The 20,390-nt window shown below is 37.5% G+C and overlaps 1 protein-coding gene across 5 annotated transcripts in view; it reads left to right on the plus strand.

The window, feature by feature from the left end:
* TMCO5A (transmembrane and coiled-coil domains 5A) overlaps nt 1–20,390 on the plus strand; it is a 106,226-nt gene that overhangs the window by 52,978 nt on the left and 32,858 nt on the right. For 2 of the 5 annotated variants that reach the window (NR_163585.1, NM_001370737.1), the window contains exons 13-14: nt 5,785–5,869; nt 6,950–7,419. Coding sequence is in view for 4 of the 5 variants with exons in the window: in NM_001370737.1 (NP_001357666.1) it covers nt 5,785–5,869; nt 6,950–7,034 (170 nt within the window). In the remaining variant the exon portion in view is untranslated. Of the gene's footprint in view, nt 1–5,784; nt 5,870–6,949; nt 7,829–20,390 lie in introns of those variants that run through there. The other 3 variants (XM_047432176.1, XM_047432177.1, XM_011521262.3) reach the window with 2 other exon arrangements.

Consider the following 20,390-nt stretch of genomic DNA (forward strand, 5'->3'; position numbering starts at 1 on the left):
ACTAACCTTTCCCCCAGTGAATTGTCTTGGCACACTTATCAAAACTCATTTGACTATATATGTGAGGATTTATTTTTGGGCTCTCTATTCTGTTCCATTGGCCAATGTGTCTGTCTTTATGCCAGCACCACTCTGGTTTGATGACTGTGGCTTTTTAGTAAGTTTTGAAATCAGGAAGTATAAGCCTCCCATCTTCTTTTTAAATATTATTTTAGCTATTTATCGTCTCTTAAGATTCCATGTAAATTTTAGGATAAACTTTTCTATTTCTGCCCAAAAAAAAGTCATTGGGATTTTGATAGGCATTGCACTGAATTTGTATACCACTTTGGGTAACATTGACATCTTAGCAATTTTAAGTCTCCCAATCCATGAATGTAAAATGTCTTTCTATTTATTTATTCTTTAATTTATTTCAGCAATGTTTCATAATTTTCTTTGTTTCTCTTTTACTTTCTAGGTTAATACTTAAGCATTTTATAATTTTTGAAGCTATTGTAAATGAAATTTTATTAATTTCCTCTTCAGATTGTTTATTGTTAGTGTGTAGAAATGCAAGTGATTTTTGTTTATTTTTGTTTCCTGCTACTTTGCTGAATTCATTTATTATTTTAACAATTTTATTAGGTGAAATCTTTAGAGTTTTCCATGTATAAAATCATGCCATCTGTAAACAGAGATACTTTTACTTTTTCCTTTCCAATTTAAATGCCTTTTTACTTCTTTTTCTTGCCTTATTGCTCTGGCTACAACTTCCAGTACTATGTTGAATAGAAATGGCAAACATGGGCATCCTTTCCTTGTTTCTGATCTAAGAGGAAAAGCTTTTAGTCTTTCACCATTGAGTATGATGTTTGCTGTGAGTTTTTTCATACATAGCTTTTATTATGTTGAGGTAGTTTTCTTATCTTCCTAGTTTGTTGAGTGTTTTTAAAATCACATAATGGTGTTAAATTTTGTTAAAGGCCCTTTCTGCATCAATTGAGATAACTGTAATTTTGCCTTTATTCTGTTAATGTGGTGTATTACATTGATCAATTTTCACATGTTGGACCATCCTTGCATTCCAGGAATAAATTCCACTTGGTCATGGTGTATAATCTCTTTAATATGCTGTTAAATTTAGTTTGCTAGTATTTTGTTAAAGATTTTGCATCAATGTTCATAAGGGATATTGTTTTGTAGTTTTCTTTTCTTGCAGTGTTTTTGTCTGGCTTTTGTATCAGGACAATGCTGGCCTCATAGAATTAGTTAGGATGTAATTCCTCCTGTATGATATTTTTCAAAAGTTTGAGAATTGGTATTCTTCTCTAAATGTTTGGTACATTTCTCCAGTGATGCCATCAGGCCCAGGGTTTTCTTTATTGGGATTTTTTATTGCTAAGCCAGTCTTCTTACTACTTATAGGTATATTCAGGTTTTCTAATTCTTCATGCTTCAGTCTTGGTAGGTTTTGTGTTTCTAGGAATTTATAAATTTCTTCCAGGTTATTCAATGTGTTAAAATTATTCATAGTACTCTCTTATAATCCTTTTAATTTTTGTAGCATCAATAATAATCCTTTAATTTCTGATTTTAGTAATTTGAGTCTTCTTTTTCTTAGTTTATCTAGCCAAAGCTTTGTCAGTTTGTTGATAAAGAATCAACTTTTGGTTATGCTAATTTTCTCTATTATTAAACAAAAAAATTTCTGCTCTAATCTTTATTATTTGTTTCTTCCTGCTAGCTTTGGGTTCAGTGTGTTCTTTTTTTACTTTCTTAAATTATTATACATTTAAGTAGTTTATTTGAGATTTTTCTCAAATATAAATATTTATATCTACAAATTTCCTCCTCAGCACTGTTTTTGCTGCATACAGTAAGTTTTAGTATGTTGTGTTTTCATTTTCATTTGTCTCAAGGTATTTTCTAATTTCCCTTGTAATTTCATCTTGGATACATTGGTTGTTTAAGTGTGTTTCTCCACAAATTCATGAATTTTCCAATTTTCTCTCTGTTATTGATTTCTTCCTTCATCCCACTATAGTTAGGGAAGAGGATCTCTTAATACATTTGTGCTGCTATAACAGAATACCACAGACTGGGTAATCTACAAAGAACAGTTTTGGAAGGTGGGAAGTCCAATATCAAGGTGCCAGAATCTTATGAATGTCTTTTTGCTACATTCTAACATGGTGGAATAGGGAAGCACAAAAGGTGGATGAACACGGTCCTCACACAGCATAGGAGCAGAAGAAAACCCACTCCTGCATGCCATTTTTCTAAGAGCATTAATCCATTCATGAGGAGAGAGTTCTCCCAAAAGCCCCACTTCTCAACACTGCCAAGTTCCTAGCACATAAATTTGGAGAACATATTCAGACCACAGCAGATACTTTATATTATATCTCTCTTTTTAAATCTATTGAGACTTAATTTCTGATCTATCATAGGTCTGTCCTGAAGAATGTTCCATATGAACCTGAGAAGAATGTTAATTCTGCTGTTGTTGAATAAAGTGTTCTGTATATGTCTGTTAGATCTAATCGGCTAATTGTGTTGTTCAAGTCTTCTGTTTTCTTATTCATCTTCTGTCTGGTTGTTCTATCCATTACTGACAGTGAGCTATTAAAGTCTTCAACAATTATTGTAAATCTACTTCTCCCTCCAATTCTGTTTTTGTTTCATATATTTTGATGGTCTGTTAGTAGGTGTAAAATTATTATATCTTTTTCCTGTATAGAAACTTCTATTAAAATATAATGACCTTCTTTGTTCCTTGTGATTGTTTTAATCTGAAGTCAATTTTGCCAGATATTAGTATAGCCACTCCCACTCTCTTGTGGTTACAAGTTGTATGGAATATCTTTTTCCATCATTTTACTGTTAACCTATTCATATCTCTGGATCTAAAGTGAATTGCTCGATGACAGCATATAGTTGGATCATGTGTGTGTGGGATTTTTTAAAATTTATTCTGCCAATCTCTGTCTTTTGATTGGAGAGTTTAATCTATTTATATTTAAAGCACTTACTGATAACGATAAACTGATTTTGGTCATTTTGCTATATTTTTCTATATACCTTTTATCTTTTTTCACCCTCATTTCCTGCATTACTGTCTTCTTTTGTGTTTAGTTGATTTTTATATTGAAACACTGTAATTTCCTTCTAATTTCCTTTTGTATATATTCTATAGCCATTTTTATGATTACTATGGGGATTACATTTAACATCCTCAAGTTATAATATTCTCATTTGAATTTATATCAGCCTAACTTTACTAACATACAAAACCTCTGGTCCTATACAGCTCCATCCTCACATCCTTTCAGTTATTGATCACAAATTACGTCTTTATACGTTGTGTGTCCAAAAGCATAAATAACTGTTTTATGCATCAATTTTATAAACTATTTAAAAAACAAAATGTAGAGTTACAAATCAAAGTTTCCATAATACTAGCTTTTAGAATAGTAATTTTAAAAATGTTAGTCTCTTAAATCATGTAGAAAACAAAAAGTAGAGTTACAAACCAAAGTTACAATAATACTAGCTTTTATAATTGCCCAGATATTTACCTTTGCTGAGATCTTTATTTCTCCATAGAGCTTCCAGTTACTGTCTTGAATATTCTCAAGTGCATATGGAACATTTCATTTCAACCTACAGGACTCCTTTTAGTTTTTCTTGTGGGACATGTCTAGTGGTAATGAATTATCTCAGCTTTTATCTGGAAACATCTTCATTTCTCTCTCACTTTTGAAAAACAGTTTTAAATGTTTCTGAAGGACTTTGGCTTCTCACAGTTTGATTATAATGTGTCTCAGTGTGGGCCTCTTTGAGTTCCTACTAGGAATTTTTTGAGCTTGATAAATGTTTACATTTATGTCTTTTATCAAATTTGGAAAGTTTTCAGCTATTCTTTCTCTGAATACTCTCTGCTTCTCTTTCTCTTCTTCTAGGACTTCCGCAACATGTATGCTGGTCTGATGGTGTCCCACAGATCCCTTAGGACCTTTTCACTTTTCTTCCAATAGTCTTATCTTCAAGTTCCTCAATTGTTTCTTAGGCTTGCTCAAATCTGTTTTTGAATCCCTTCAATAATTTTTTTATTTCATGCAATCTTTGACAAAGCTGACAAAAACAAGCAATGGGGAAAGGACTCCCTATTCAATAAATGGTGCTGGGATAACTGGCTAGCCATATGCAGAAGATTGAAACTGAACCCGTTGCTTACACCATGTACAAAAACCAACTTAAGATGGATTAAAGACTTAAATGTAAAACCCAAATATATAAAAAACCCTGGAAAACAATCTAGGCAATAGTATTTTGGCCATAGGAACTGGCAAAGGTTTCATGATGAAGACTCCAAAAGCAATTGCAGCAAAAGCAAAACTTGACAAATGGGATCTAATCAAACTAAAGAGTTTCTGCACATCAAAAGTAGCTATCAAGAAACAGCCTACAGAATGGGAGAAATTATTTGCAAAACTATGTATCTGACAAAGGTCTAATATCCAGCATCTATGAAGAACTTAGACAAATTTACAAGAAAAAAACAACCTCATTGAAAGGTGGGCAAAGGACATGAACACACACTTTTTTTAAAGAAGACATACATGCGGCCAACAAGTGTATTTTTTAAAAGTTCAATATCACTGGTCATTAGAGAAATGCAAATCAAAACCACAGTAAGGTACCATCTCACACCAGTCAGAATGGTTATTATTAAAAGTCAAAAAATAACAGATGCTGGAGAGGTTGCAAAGGAACAGGAACTTATACACTGTTGGTGGGAGTGTAAATTAGTTCCACCGTTGTGGAAAGCAGAGTGGTGATTCCTCAAAGAACTAAAAACAGAAATACCATTTGACCCAGAAATCCCATTACTGGGTATATACCCAAAGGAATATAAATCATTCTATCGTAAGGACACATGCACGTATACATTCACTGCAGTACTATTCACAATAGCAAAGACATGGAATCAATCTAAATGCCTATCAATGGTAGATTAGATTTTAAAGATGTGGTATACATACATTGTGGAATATTATGCAGCCATAAAAAAGAACTAGATCATGTTCTTTGAAGGAACATGGATGGAGTTAAAGGCCATCGTCCTTAGCAAATTAACGTAAGAACAGAAACCCAAATACTGCATGTTCTCACTTATAAGTGGGAGCTAAATTATGAGAACACATGGACACACAAAAGGGGAACATCAGACACTGGGGACTACCTGAGAGTAGAGGATGGGAAGAGGGAGAGAAGCAGAAACAAATAACTATTTTGTACTAGCTTTATTACCTGGGTGATAAAATAATCTGTACAACAAACCCCAATGACATGAATTTACCTATATAACAAACTTGCACAAGTACCCCTGAACCTAAAATAAAAGTTTTTAAAAAATTAAAATATTTTCATTTCAGTTATGATATTTTTTAGCTCCAAAATTTCTTTTTAGTTTATTTTTTTACAGTTTCTATTTATCAATATTTTCATTCTGTTCATACATTGTTGTGTTTACTTTTTCTAGATCTTTTAAGTCCTTGAGCATCTTTATGAGAGTTGCTTTAAAGTATTTGTCTAGCAAGTTCACCATCTGGATTTTCTTGGGGTTTCTGTTTTTTTTTAAATGGGGGCCACATTTTACCAGTTTTTAATATGCTTGGTGATGTTTCTTGTTGAAAATTGAACATCTGGATTATAATGAAGTAATTCGGAAAAGAAGTTTCTCCTCCTTCCCCAGGGTTTGCTAATTTGGGTTTTTTTTTTTATTTTTGATTGTTATAGACTGTCTGCGAGGGATGAGCCTGAGGTGTCAGCATCTTCACAGGTCTTTTGAGCCTGCATGCACAAAAGGGTCTACTGTCCCTGGGTATGCACATTAACTCTCTGAATTTCTCTGTATATGTGGTTACTTTTGAATGTCTTAGATTTTAAATATCTGGTTCCCAAAACCAGATTACAATGAAGGGATAGGAGATTGGGGGTAGAATATCAAAAGAGTGCTGACCCTTTAAATCCTCTGAAAGTTAATTCAGCTTTGGGGGAGAGCCTTGCAATGGTGTGGGGAGGGTGTAACAATGGCTGCCTACCTATGTGTCTGCATCTCCAAGATCAAAAATAGCAATCATGGATCAGATCATAGATCCCCAATTTATGAAGGACAGGGCTTTGAGGCTTACCCGGCTCCCACAATGGGTACGGATGTGTTGCCTGCCCTTGGGGTGGGGCATGGGAGATGGGTAGCTGCTACTCTGCTAAAAGCTGAACTTACCCAGTTTGTCATCCAAACTTTCCCCTGGAAGTTGTAAGCCTTCAAACAGATTCTAGATCAGACAGGTTTTGCCAGTGCAGTTGTTGTCTAGGTAGGAAGACAGATTCCTGGTGCTTCCTGCTCTACCATCTTCCCAGAATCCTCGACTTAATCTAGTTTTATAAAATTGGGGAACCAACCTTAACTCAAAAAAAGAATTTAAACCTCTCCTCCATCCAGTCTTTCTCTGCAGAGCAGAGGATCCACTGTTGGTGTCCCTGTGGCCCAGCTGGAAGGTGAGGGAAGTAATACAGTGACAGAGAGGGAGAAGTCTACAGTGAAAGCCTAGTGACCCCAGAGAAAAGGGCCCAAGAGGCTCCCAGGCCTCCATTAGCAGGCTTCCAGATTAAAACAGTGTTCAATAAAAAGGACAATGCAAGATCCGGCTAAGAGAGTCAGGAACTAGAGGAGGAGAAGCATGACAAGATTTTCCAGTGGCTAGTAGGAAACAAGGCTCACATATTCCCTGAGCTGGAGTCTCACTGTTCTCATGGCTTTTTACCTGGTGCCCCTACCCTCAGATATGGATGTAAGGAAAGAGTTAAAAAAGATTATGCTAAAAGGATACCAAATATACTAAATATACGACTTGATAGTCATTGCAATTGGTTGCGCTTTTGATTCAACCTCTCATTCCAGCTGCTTGATAATCTCTGGGATCCTGCATCTGCACTTACCATGTCAGCTGGTCCACCCAGCTTCCTATCACACTTCAGTTCCATAAATGGCTGCCTACAGAGGAAAGCTTCACATGTGCCTAAAAACTCCCTTCAGATCGTCATCAGCCCGTATTCAGCCACAAGGAGGTCTTTCAATCTGAAACTCCAGAGATATTAATATCTATCGCTGTACAAGCCAGCCCAGTTCTGGGAAGGAAGGAAGGGAAGGGAATGTGTGAAGACAAGAGTGAGTGGTGGGTGGGGAGGACTGTTCTGTGCATGTTCCTATCACTTTAGTAGCTCATCAAAGAGAGCAAACGTCAGCACCTCTTGATTTGGTTTTGACTCCCCCAGATTTCTACAATTTCAGATTCTTGTTTTAAGTGCCAGTAAAACCTTTTCCCTTGGGGCTAGGGAACTGTGCAAAGGAAATAATAATACTGGCAGAGTGATTTGTTAGGTGTTCAATGGTGCTAAATCCTTATAAGCAAAAGCTCTCCCTACCTCCACCTATTTGTGCCCTCCCTACGCCCACATACCAGCCAATCTGGAAATGAGGAAAAACACTACAAAAGAGGAAAGGCAGACTCAGCCCCTCTCTAGGGACCTTTGTGCCAGCTACAAAGGAAAGACCACTACAGAGGTAAAAAAAAAATCTTTCTCCTGTCTTTGCCACCCACTCCCCCAATCATGCTCTTAAGACTTAAAGCCACAAGTCAACAGAGCTTCTCCACATTGTTCTTTTTCCCTTTTCATTCAGATTCCAAAATAATCAGAGAAACCCCACCTTACTTTCTCACTCCACAGGAGATGAACCATGCAGTTTGGTAAAATTATTTTGCATCCTGCAATCAGATTTTTATTTCTCCTCTTTCCCTCTGATGTAGCTTGCATTTCTTGGACAATAATGGTTAGAAAGTTGCCTCAGTAACAGGCCTTGGCATTTCTCACAAAGTCCAAATTGGTAACTTCCACCGAAGAGCCCAGTGGCTAATCCCAAATGTGCTTTCTAATTTATGCTCTGTCTGATCCAAAACTGCTCTGTGAATTTCCCACTGTCATGTTCCTGCAGTTCAGTCAGTCATTTTGTAGAAGCACATGATCCTTAGGATCCCAGCACTATATGGCACGGCTGCAAAAATTATTTTTATCTCTGGCTGCTCTATGAGGACTCAGAAAAGATATAAGAAATAGATGAGAAAATAACAAAATTGCGTTTCCAGAGGTATATTAGAGTGGACTGTTATGCAATCCCCTCCAAAAAAAAAACAAACAAACAAACAAAACCTGTATTCACTTTATCCACACGATGGTGCTAGCCTCAAAAAAATCGCCCTTCTCAGTCTTGCAAGAAGAATGAAAACAGTTCCACTTCCCTCTCATTAATGGCAAAGCTGTATACTGTAGCCAAGGCATCACTTACCTAGGGGGACGTTAATTCTGCAAATAAGCACCTAAAATAGATGGGTTCATCCTAATCCCCTTCCCCACCCCACTTCCCAGGGAGATAAAAAGGAACAAAATCACTGTTCTTTTCAACTCACTGATTCAATCATTTTAGCAACCCTGGGGCGTAAGAGTGATTCATGCTGGGCTTTTGGATGTGTGCAATCTTGGCACAGACCCTCACTACGCCTTAGAGGGAGCTGAGTGACTTGGGAGTATGTGGGGGAGCACTAGTCAACCAGCAGTCTAAAGCTCCTCATTGGGTTCTAATAAGTGTTGCTGGGAATGAAAGAAGATGGGAGCACCAGACATTTCACCAGGGTCACTGAATGAAAGAAGTGGATTCAACGTGGGCGCCTTCCAGGCTAATGGGCAAAGAAAACTAGGAAGTCTGTTTTGGGCTTCTCAACTCAAAAATATGCTCTCTACCTGTCTAATGACCAAGTTTCACCAGCTGCCTCTTCTTTTTATGGAATTTAGATCTTTCACTTAAATGTCTTAAAAGCTCAGGGTAATCTTGTTAAGCATGCTAAATAGTGCTTAGGTAACATTAAGATGCCAAATGGAACCAATTACCAGGTGTATAAACAAATAATTTTTAAAAGCAGGAAACCTGTCAAAACCAAAAAGCACTCTCAACTTTAGAAAGGGAGAACCAACTGAAGCTCTTTAATGGCTCTAAGTAAGCCCTTACCTGAAGCTGATACTAATAACAATGATAACCATGAGCAGTGATATGGGTCCAAAATGTCTTCAGACCTGGCCCTGGACACTGGCAGCTTGATGACGCCTGTGATTTGGGAACTAGCAGAAGGCACCACTTACCATTACACCCAAACATCCCCCTGTGGCCCTTTTACATGTTTAAACCCTCCAACTTTAGCCCAGCTGCGAAGAATATTATTTCTATAACTTCTATCTTAAAACATACATTCTAACTGAGAAGGAAGAAACGACTGAAGGAAAAAATTCTCATTAGGATGAATGAGTTCATTAGATTGGCTCATTTATCCTTAGAATAACAAGGGGGTGGCACGTGAGGAGATGGCATGTAGGATAACTAAATGTCAACAAAGAACAAACAGTTTGACAGTCATAAGTTCTGGGAGAAAAACGACCTGGGAGACGGCAACAATGAGTTTGAAAGGATTTTTCTGTTTATCACAGATCAGACATAAAAATGATGATTCACAAGTTCAAAAGATTTTACAGATGCACTCACTTCAGCTCACACCGTGTCTTTTGTTTTAATGTGTAGTTGTTGCAAATATTCTAAATGACATTTTAAAATGCAAATATTTTTAAATGACATTGTAAATTCTGAAAATGTCATTTAAAGCCCAGATTTAGGGCTTCTCTTTAAAAAGTAAAAAGGTTTTTTCCCATAAGTTCAATTGTTTTAATTTTTAACTCCCAAAATAAGTGAAAATGTGGTTTGTCTTTCCCTCCTTGGCCTATTTCACTTAATGTCCTTCAGTTCCACCCATGTTATTGCAAATGACAGGATCTTGTTCTTTTTTATGGCTGAATAGTACTCCATAGTATGTATGTATCACATTTTCTTTATCAGTTTGTCTGTGGATGGACACTTAGGCTGCTTCCAAATCTTGGCTATTGTGAATAGTGTTGCAATAAACATAAGAGTGCAGATATTTCTTCAGTACACTCATTCCTTTTCTTGTGGGTATATGCCTAGCAGTGGGATTACTGGGTCATATGGTATTTCTATTTTTAGCGTTTTGAGAAACTTCCAAACTGTTCTCCATAGTGGATGTACTAATACACATTCACACCAACAGTGTACCATGGTTCTTTTTTCTCCATATAATCGCCAGCATTTGTTATTGTCTGTCATTTGAATAACTGGGGTGAGATTATATTTCATCGTAATTTTGATTTGCAGTTCTCTGATGATCAATTATGTTGAGTGCCTTTTCATATGCCTGCTTGCCATTTGTATGTCTTCTTTTGAGAAATGTTTATTCATATATTTTGCCCATTTTTAATCAGATTGTTAAAATTTTTTCCTATAGAGTCGTTTGAGCTCCTTATATATTCCACCTATTAATCGCTTGTCAGATAAGTAGCTTACAAATGTTTTCCCCCATTCCGTGGGTTGTGTCTTCACTTTGTTGAATTTTTCCTTTGCTCTGTAGAAGCTTTTTAACTTGATGTGACCCCATTTGTCCACTTTTGCTTTAGTTGCATGTGCTTGTGGGATATTACTCAAGAAATTTTTGCCCAGACAAATGTCCTGGAGAGTTCCCTAATGTTTTCTTTTAGTAGTTTCATAGTTTGAGGTTTTAGATTTAGGACTTTAATCCATTTTCATTTGATTTTTATATATAGCAAGAGATAGGGATCTAGTTTTATTCTTCTGAACATGGATATCCAGTTTTCCCAGCACCGTTTATGAAAAGACTGTCTTTTACCCTCTGTGTGTTCTTGGCACCTTTGTCAAAAATGAGTTCACTGTAGAGGTATGGATATATTTCTGGGGTCTCTATTTGATTCCATTGCTCTCTGTGTCTGTTTTTATGCCAGTATCATATAGTTTGGTTACTATAGCTCTGTAGTATAATTTGAAGTCAAGCAATGAAGTTCCTCCAGTTTTGTTCTTTTTGCCCAGGATGGCTTTGACTGTTCTGAGTCTTTTGTGGTTCCATATAAATTTTAGGATTTTTTTTTTATTTCTGTGGTGAATGTCATTGGTATTTTGATAGAGATTGCATTGAATCTGTAGATTGCTTTAGGTAGTATGGACATTTGAACAATATTGATTCTTCCAATCCATGAACACGAAATAACTTTCCATTTTGTTGTGTCCTCTTCAATTTATTTAATCAGTGTTTTATAGTTTTCTTTTTTTGTTGTTGTTGTTGTTGTTTTTTGAGATGGAGTTTCGCTCTTGTTGCCCAGGCTGGAGTGCAATGGCATAATCTCAGCTCACCGCAACCTCCACCTCCCAGGTTCAAGCGATTCTCCTGTCTCAGGCTCCCTAGTAGCTGGAATTACAGGCATGCGCCACCATGCCCAGCTAATTTTACATTTTTAGTAGAGATGGAGTTTCTCCGTGTTGGTCAGGCTGGTCTTGACCTCCCGACCTCAGGTGATCTGCCTGCCTCAGCCTCCCAAAGTGCTGGGATTACAGGCGTGAGCCACCACACCTGGCCCAATCAGTGTTGTATAGTTTTAATTATCATGATCTTTCTCTTCTTTGGTTAAGTTTACATCTAGGTATTTTATTTTATTTGTAGCTATTGTAAATGGAATTGCTTTCTCGATTTCCTTTTCAGATTGTTCACTGTTGGCATATAGAAATGCTACTGATTCTTGTATGTTGATTTTGCAGTCTGTACCTTTAATGAATATGTTTTAGTTCTAGCAGATCTTTTGGCAGATTTTTTAGGTTTTTCCAAATATGAGATTACATTATCCACAAACAAGCAGAATTTGACTTCTTCCTTTTGAATTTGCAGGCCCTTTATTTCCTTATCTTGTCTGATTGCTCTAACTAGGATTTCTAGTACTATGTTGAATAACAATAGTGAAAGTGACATCCTTGTCATGTTCCAGGTCTTAGAGAAAAGATTTTGGTTTTTCCTCATTCAGTGTTATACTAGCTGTGGATCTATCACATATGGCTTTTATTGTATTGAGGTATTTTCTTCCATACCCAGTTTTTTAAGGGTTTTTTTCATAAAGGGATGTTGAATTTTATCAAATGCTTTTTCAGCATCAATTGAAATGATCATGATTTTGTCCTTCATTCTGTTGATATAATGTATCATGCTGATTGATTTGCATATGTTGAACCATCTTTGCATCCCTGGAATAAATCCCACTTGGTCATACTGAATGATCTGTCTAATGTGTTGTTGAATTTGGTTTGCTAGTATTTTGTTGAGGATTTTTACATCACTGTTCATCAGCGATATTGGCCTGTAGCTTTCTTTTTTTGATGTGTCTTTGATTTTGGTATCAGGGTAATACTGGCCATGTAGAATGAGTTTGGAAGTATTCCCCCTCCTCAATTTTTCAGAATAGTTTGAGTAGAATTGGTTTTAGATCATCTTTAAATGCTTGGTAGAATTCAGCAATGATGCCATCAGGTCCAAGGCTTTTCTTTGCTAGAAGACTTTTGATTATGGCTTCGATCTTGTAACTTGTTATTGGTCTGTTCAGGTTTTGAATTTCTTCATGATTCAATCTGGGTAGGTTGTATTTGTCTAAGAATTTAACCATTTCTTTAGGTTTCCCAATTTATTGGCATAAAGTTGCTCATGGTAGCCTGTAATTATCCTTTGAATTTCTGTGGTATTGGTTGTAATGTCTCCTTTTTCATCTCAGAATTTTTTTTATTAGGGTCTTCTCTCTTTTTTTCTTAATCTGGCTAAAAGTTTCTCGGTTTTGTTTATCTTTTCAAAAAACAAACTTTTCATTTCATTGATCTTTGTGTATTTTTATTTAAATTTCATTCATTTCTGTTAAGATTTTTATTACTTCTGTTCTTATACTAATTTTGAATTTGATTTGCTCTTGTTTTTCCAGTTCTTTAAAATGTATAATTGTGTTATTTATTTGAAGTTTTTCTACTTCTTTGAAGGTGCTTATTGCTATATCCTTTCCTCTTAGTACTGCTTTTGCTGTACCCTAAAAGTTTTATGTTGTGTTTCCATTATCATTTATTTCAAGAAGACTTTCAATTTCCTTCGTAATTTCTTCATTGACTTGCTGGTCATTCAGAAACATACTGTTTACCAGTGTTTGTACAGTTACCAACATTCCTCTTGTTATTGATTTCTAGTTTTATTCCATGTGGTCAGATAAGATACTTGATATTATTTCAATTATTTTGAATTTTTAAGACATTCTGTGGCCTAACATATGGCCTATCCTTGAAAATAATCCATATGCTGAGTAAAAGAATGTGTATTCTGCAACCATTGGATGAAATGTTCTGTAAATATCTATTAGGTGCACTTGGTCTATAGTGCAAATTAAGTCAGATGTTTCTTTGTTGCTTTTCAGTCTAGGAGATATGTCCAATGCTGAAAGTTGGATGTGGAAGTCTCTGGCTATTATTGTATTGGGGTCTATCTCTCTCTTTAGCTCTAATAATATTTGTTATATATATCTGGATGCCCCAGTGTTGGGTGCATATACATTTAAAATTCTTATATATCCTCTTGCTGCATTGACCCCTTTATCAATATATAGTGACCTTCTTTGTTTCTTCTTATAGTTTTTGTCTTGAAATCTATTTTGTATGATATAAATATGGCTACTCCTGCTCATTTCATTTTCATTTGCATAGAATATAATTGTCCATCCCTTTATGTTCAGTCTATGTCACTTTACAGGTGATGAGTGTTTTTTATAGGCAATAGATCATTGGATCTTGTTTTTTTTTTTTTTTTAACGAATTAGCCACTCTATGTCTTTTGGTTGGAGAGTTTAGTCCATTTACATTCAATGTTATTATTGATAAGTAAAGACTTACTCCTGTCATTTTAAAATTTGTATCCTGATTGTTTTGTGGTCTTCTCTTCCTTCTTTCCTGTCTTCCTTTAGTGTAGGTGATTTTCTCTGGTGGTATGTTTCAATTTCTTGCTTTTTGTTTTGGTACATCTGTTGCATGTTTTTTGATTTGAGGTTACCATGAAGCTTATAAATAATATCTTATAACTCCTTATTTTAGACTAAGCTCAACTTAATGCTGATTGCTTAAACAAAGTAACAAGCAAGCAAAGAGAGAAGTAATACAAACTCTACACTTTAAATTCATCCCCCACTTTTTAACTTTTTGTTGTTCCTATTTATATCTTATTATATTGTCTGTGTTTTGAAAAATTTTTGTAGTTACTATTTTTGATAGGTTCATCTTTTAGTCTTTGTACTCAAGATATGAGTAGATTACACACCACAATTATTGTGTTATAATATTCTGTCTTTCTGTGTACCCACTATTACCAGTGAGTTTTGTATCTCCAGATGATTTCCTAATGCTCACTAATGTCCTTTTCTTTCAGACTGAGGAAGTGGATTTAGCATTTCTTGTAGGACAGGTCTAGTATTGATGAAATCCCTCAACTTTTGTTTGTCTGGGAAAGTCTTTATTTCTCCTTCATGTTTGAAGGATATTTTCACAGGGTATGCTACTTTAGGATAAAAGGTTTTTTTTTTTTCCTTCTGCATGTTACTTATTTCTTTTCTCTTGCTGCTTTCTTTATCATTGACCTTTGGGAGCTTGATTATTAAATGTCTTGAGGTAGTCTCATTTGGATTATATCTGCTTGGTGTTCTATCACCTTCTTGTACTTAAATATTGATATCTTTCCCTAGGTTTGGGAAGTTCTGTTATTTTCTCTTTAAATATACTTTCCACCCTGGTATCTCTCTCTCTCTTTCTCTCTCTCTCTTTCCTCTTTAAGGCCAATAACTTTTAGGTTTGCCCTTTTGAGACTATTTTCTAGATCTTGCATTTATGCTTCATTCTTTTTTATTCTTTTTTTTCTTTTGTCTTCTCTGGTTGTGTATTTTCAAATAGCCTGTCTTCAAGCTCACTAATTCTTCTGCTTGATCAAGTCTACTGTTAAGAGGCTCTGATGTGTTCTTTAGTATGTCAATTGTATTTTTCAGCTCCAGAATTTCTGCTTGATTCTTTTTTTAAAATTATTTCAATCTCTTCATTAATTTCATCTGATAGGATTCTGAATTCTCTCTCTGTGTTATCTCAAATTTTGTTGAGACTCCTCAAAACAGCTATTTTGAGTTCTCTGTCTGAAAGGTCACATATCTCTGTGTCTTTGGTACTGGTCACAGGTGCTTATTTCATTCATTTGGTGAAGCCATTTTCTGGGTAGTCTTGATGCTTGTAGATGTTTGTGGGTGTCTGGATGTTGAAGAGTTAGGTATTTATTATAGTCTTCTCAGTCTGAGCTTGTTTGTGCCCATCCTTCTTGGGAAGGCTTTCCGAGTCCCTTTTCAAAGAGATTTGGGCACTGTGATCTAAGTCTTTGGTCACTGCAGTTGCATGTGCATTAGGGGGCACCCTAAGCCCAGTGATGCTGTGGCTCTTGCAGGCTTGTAGAGGTACTTCCTTGATGTCTTGAGTGAGACCTGAGAGAATTATCTGGATTATCCAGCAGAGACCCTTGTTCTCTTCCCTGACTTTCTCCCAAACAGAGTCTCTCTCTCTCTCTCTCTCTCTCTGTCTCCTCCCATCACTCTCTCCCCACTTGAAGCTAGGGGAGGAGTGACAGAAGCACTCCTGTGGCTACCACAACTGGGATTGTGCTGGGTCAGACCCAAAGCCAGCACTGGGGTCTCACTCAAGGCCCGCAGTTACCACTGCTTGGCTATCACCTATGTTCATCAAGGCCTAAGGGCTCTGTAACCAGCAGGTGGTAAATCTAGCCAAGCTCATGTCCTTCCTTTCAATGCAGTGAGTTATCCTTGGCCCATGGTGGGTGTGGGTCCAGAGATGTCATCCAGGAGCCAGGACCTGGAGTCAAGAACCTTAGGGATCTACTTGGTGCTTTATTCTACTACTGCTGGGCTGGCACCCAAGCTTTAAGACAAAGTCCTTCTCACTCTTCCCTCCTCTTTTCTCAAGCAGATGAGTCTCTCCCCATGGTCACCACTGCCCCAGGCCCACAACAAACAGTACCTGGCTACCACCATGTTCACTCAAGGCCCAAGGACTCTTCAGTCAGCTTGTGGTGCATGTTACCAGGCCTGGGATTCTCTTTTCAGGGAAATAGGCTCCTCTGTGGCCCAGGAAGGATCGAGAAATGCTGTCCAGGAGCCAAGGCCTGGAATCAGGAACCCCAGGAGCCCACTTGGTGCTCTACACCGCTGAGTAGAGCTGGTGGTACCCAAGCTTCAAAACCAAGTCCCCTTACTCTTCTTACCTCTTCTTTCCTTAAGCAAAAGGAGTCTCTTTTTGTAAGGCCCACAGCTGGGAATGTGCTGGGTCACACATGAAGCCAGCATGGCTCTGAGTCTCACCCAAGGCCCAAGGTGAATACTGCTTGGTTGCTACTGCTGATTATTCAGGACCCAAGGGCTCCTTAATCAGTAGGTGATAAATTCTGCCAGGACTGAGTCCTTCCCTTCAAGACAGCGGGTTTCCTTCTAGCCCAGAGTGTGTCTAGAAATGTCATCTGTGAGCTAGGGCCTAGAAAAGAGGCCTCAGGACTCTGCCTGGTGCCCCATTCTACTATGGCTGAGTGGATATCCAAGTTCCAAGACAAAGTCCTCTTTACTCTTCCCTCTCTTCTCCTCAAGCAGAAGGAAGAAGTTTCTCCCTGTGCTGCCTGGGGTTGGAGGAGAGGTGACCTTCCCCTGGCCACCCCATCTGGTCATGTGTGCCCCAAGTCCACTGGCTCTGAGCCAAGCACCGCACTGAGATTTGCCCAGGAATTGCAGTGCTTGTGGCTTAGACTGCCTTTCAAGTTTATTTTGAACCCCACAGCAGTTTAGCCAACAGTGGTGCTGGTGAAGCTTGTTGGAACTCAGGTTCCAACAGCCAGGATAAGTGATTCTCCTCTGGCTAGGGCTGGCCTAAATGCTCCCTCCGTGGGTGCCAACTGAGTTCTGCCTTCTGTTGCTTTCCACTGTGATAGGACAACACTGAGGTCATATGTAAAATTGCACAGTTACTGCATTCACCCTCCCCAAAGTGCACAGATTCTCTCTGAGCCAAATGGGTTAAGGGAGAAGTGATGGAGGCGATTCGAAGCTGTCTTTCCTACCCTCTTCAGTACCTCTTCCAGTGATGTGAAGTTAAAACCAGGTATTGTGATTGTTCACCTCAGTTTTCAACTTCATGAAGGTGCTTTTCTTGTATTGCTTAATTTGTTGTTCCTCTGGGGGGGTGTATAATTGCTGGAGGCTTCTATTTGGCCGTCTTGCTCTCCCTTCTGTTGAAGAGTAAAAAGATTTGTCACTATTAGACAGAATTCTCATGTGACAATAATTGCTCAAACAGAAATAACAGCTATTAACAGAGTACAGGTCTGTTTCTTTACAATGGTTTCCATCACCCCTATTGCATTATGCCCAGTCTATTTTACTCATTTGTGCCACCAGTATGCCCTTGTAGGTCTTAATCAACCTTTATTCCTAAGGGCACCTAGAGAGAGGATCCTTAAAAGGGAAATGACAGTGCCAATTGTTTGGGGAGGTGCCAAAAGACAGATAACTTTTGGAAAACAGTACTTGACAGAAAAAAAAAAAAAAAAAAAGGAAACACCAGACTGAGCACAATGGCTTATGCCTATAATCCCAGTTCTTTGGGAAGCTGAGCGCAGGTGTTTGAGAACAGCCTGAGTACCACAGCAAGACCCCATCTCTACCAAAAAAAAAAAAAAAAAAAAAAAAAAGCTAGGCATGGTGGTGCACACCTGTAGTCTAAGCTATTTAAGAGGCTGAGACAGGTGTCAGGGGAGGATCCCTTGAGCCCAGGAGTTTGAGGCTGCAGTGAGCTATGATCACACCATTGTACTCTAGCCTACGTGACAGAGTAAGACGCTGTCTCTAAAAATAAATTAATTAATTAAATAAAAAATTGTAAAAAGGAAACAACTTAGAGCAAAGTTAATACATTACAGCTCATACTGGGCTAAGTAGAAAGCACAAGTGGTTCCGGTGATTTAGAGCAGTGTGAGGAAAAAAAGACCATTGAAAACTGTATGATGAAAAAGTTTTCCTGAATCTCAGCTTCTGATTTATAAGAAGGCAAACCAGGAGTCTTCTTAACAGGTCATATGAACTTTAGAAATAGGCAAAGACTCCCTGTGCAGCAGGGATGCAGCCTTAAGTACTTTCTTTCTCACAGTTCATGGATGAAGACCGAAGGAACTGAACAGCAATAACGGAGGTTTGGCTTAGGCTGAACATTAGGAACAAACCCCCTTCCAATATTATATATGTTAAATCTGAGATAGCTGCACAGAATGATAAATTATTTGCACTTAAGTGATCTGTACCCAGTCTTAATTTATTGCTGGGGAGTGAGTGATGATATGAAGAGGTCAAGGCCATTGAAAGAACAATTTGTTGCTACTCACAGTTCCCCTAGAAACAAGAGGCACAGCACACCATGCAAGGCCACATGGGGAAGCAGCAGAGTAGATCAGGAGGCAGAAGCAGGAAGGAGCATGGCCTAGAGCCTTTATTGTGTTTTCTTCATGAGAGGCAAGGTGGGACAGGAGAAACAGCTTAGTACTGGCTAGTTTGAATAATGTCTGTGGGCTCTGATATAGCATAGGAGTGGTGTCTAGTTGCCTGGTATGATTCAGAGCAGGGAAAGTATTGAAATGTTGTATGGGAGTTAGAGAAATGAGGTGGTTGAGCTTATGGACTCAGGATTGGTTGGAGAATTTGTAATACGATTTTGAGCACCTGCAAAAGCTTGTTCACAGGGGATACGTAAACAACTTTGCCCACTGGTTTGGCCCTGTGATTAATGAATGCCAAATAGACAAATACAGAATCTAAGAAAACACAGAACATAAGTGAACACTGAGAAGCATTCAGTCCAGTCACTTCATTTTACAAATAAGGAAGTTGATATTTAAAGATGTGACCTCATTTGTCCAAAATCCACTGAAGCTTGCTAGCAGCACTGCATAAAATAAAATCCCTATGCACTATTCCCAACTCTATGATCTCTTGGCTACACTATATTGACTTATGCAGATAATGCAATTCCATTCATGTATTGGAAATCTAAAGCAGGGATTAGCAAACTTTTTTGTAAAAAATCACCCAGTAAATATTTTATATTAATGCTAATATTTATATTATTTTAATATTTATATTATTATTTTTGTAACAAGTCACCTAGTAAATATTTGCAAGTCATACAGTCTCTGTCACAACAACTCAAATCTGCCATTGTAGCACTAAAGCAGCTGTAGACAATGGATTAAAAAAAAATGGGTGTGGCCATGTCCCACTAAAACTTTATTCAGCAATGCTAAAATTTAAATTTCATATTAATTTTCATATGTCATGAAATATTATTTTAAAATTTGTTTTCAATCATTAAAAAATGCCATAACTATTCTTAGCTTGTGGGCTATATACAAAGACAGCAGGCTGAGTTTTGCCCATGAACCATAGTTTACTGACCCTTGGGCTAAAGAATTTGTGTGTAGACTTCCTATGTAATCTCAGATGATTGAGCCAAATGAGAGTTCAACACTCCAGGTCTTTATTTCTCCATTGATAAAATGAGATAAATACACTATAAGGTCCCTTGTGGACCTGTGGCCTTGAGGTTTTTGCAAAGGATACTCTAACACAAAAATGGGCTGTAGGCTCTTTTATGGGAAGCTCTTCAGAATACTTCTACCTGAAATATCTCCAGGAACCACAGCAATTCAGGAACTACAGTGTGAAGAACATTAGATACACAGAATATTAAAATTAAAAAAGATCTGTTGGATGATGTTTAGGAAACATGATAAGAGACATTTCTGTACTTCTCAAAGCTACTGTAAATTAGGAGTACCCAAAGAATTGGAGAAGGTCCCCTAAAACACACTCTCAAAGACTTGAGTGCAGGTAGTTAATGTCAAAGGCAAAAATAAGAGACACAAATGAGACAGGGAAAATTGAGATAGGGAAATGAGTAAACAATAAAATTGTGTTAGTGAACAAGTAAGTGCCATGAGTAACTAGAGGTCAGTTCTGCTGGAATCTGTCTAAGAAACTATGATGTGGCTTTGGAATTGTTTAACAGAGGGTGGGGAGGCCTAGGCATTTATCTATCAAGTCCAGTTTTTCAATGATTGAGGGTTGTTCTGAGGGTGTAAACTCACCCACACTTTTTTTTTTTTTTTTTTTTTTTTTTTTTTTTTTTTTTTGTGAGACAGAGTCTCTCTCTGTTGCCCAGGCTGGAGTGCAGTGGCACGATCTCGGCTCACTGCAAGCTCCGCCTCCCAGGTTCACGCCATTCTCCT

This window comes from Homo sapiens, chromosome 15 (genome assembly GCF_000001405.40).
Source record: "Homo sapiens chromosome 15, GRCh38.p14 Primary Assembly".
Lineage (NCBI taxonomy): Eukaryota > Metazoa > Chordata > Mammalia > Primates > Hominidae > Homo > Homo sapiens.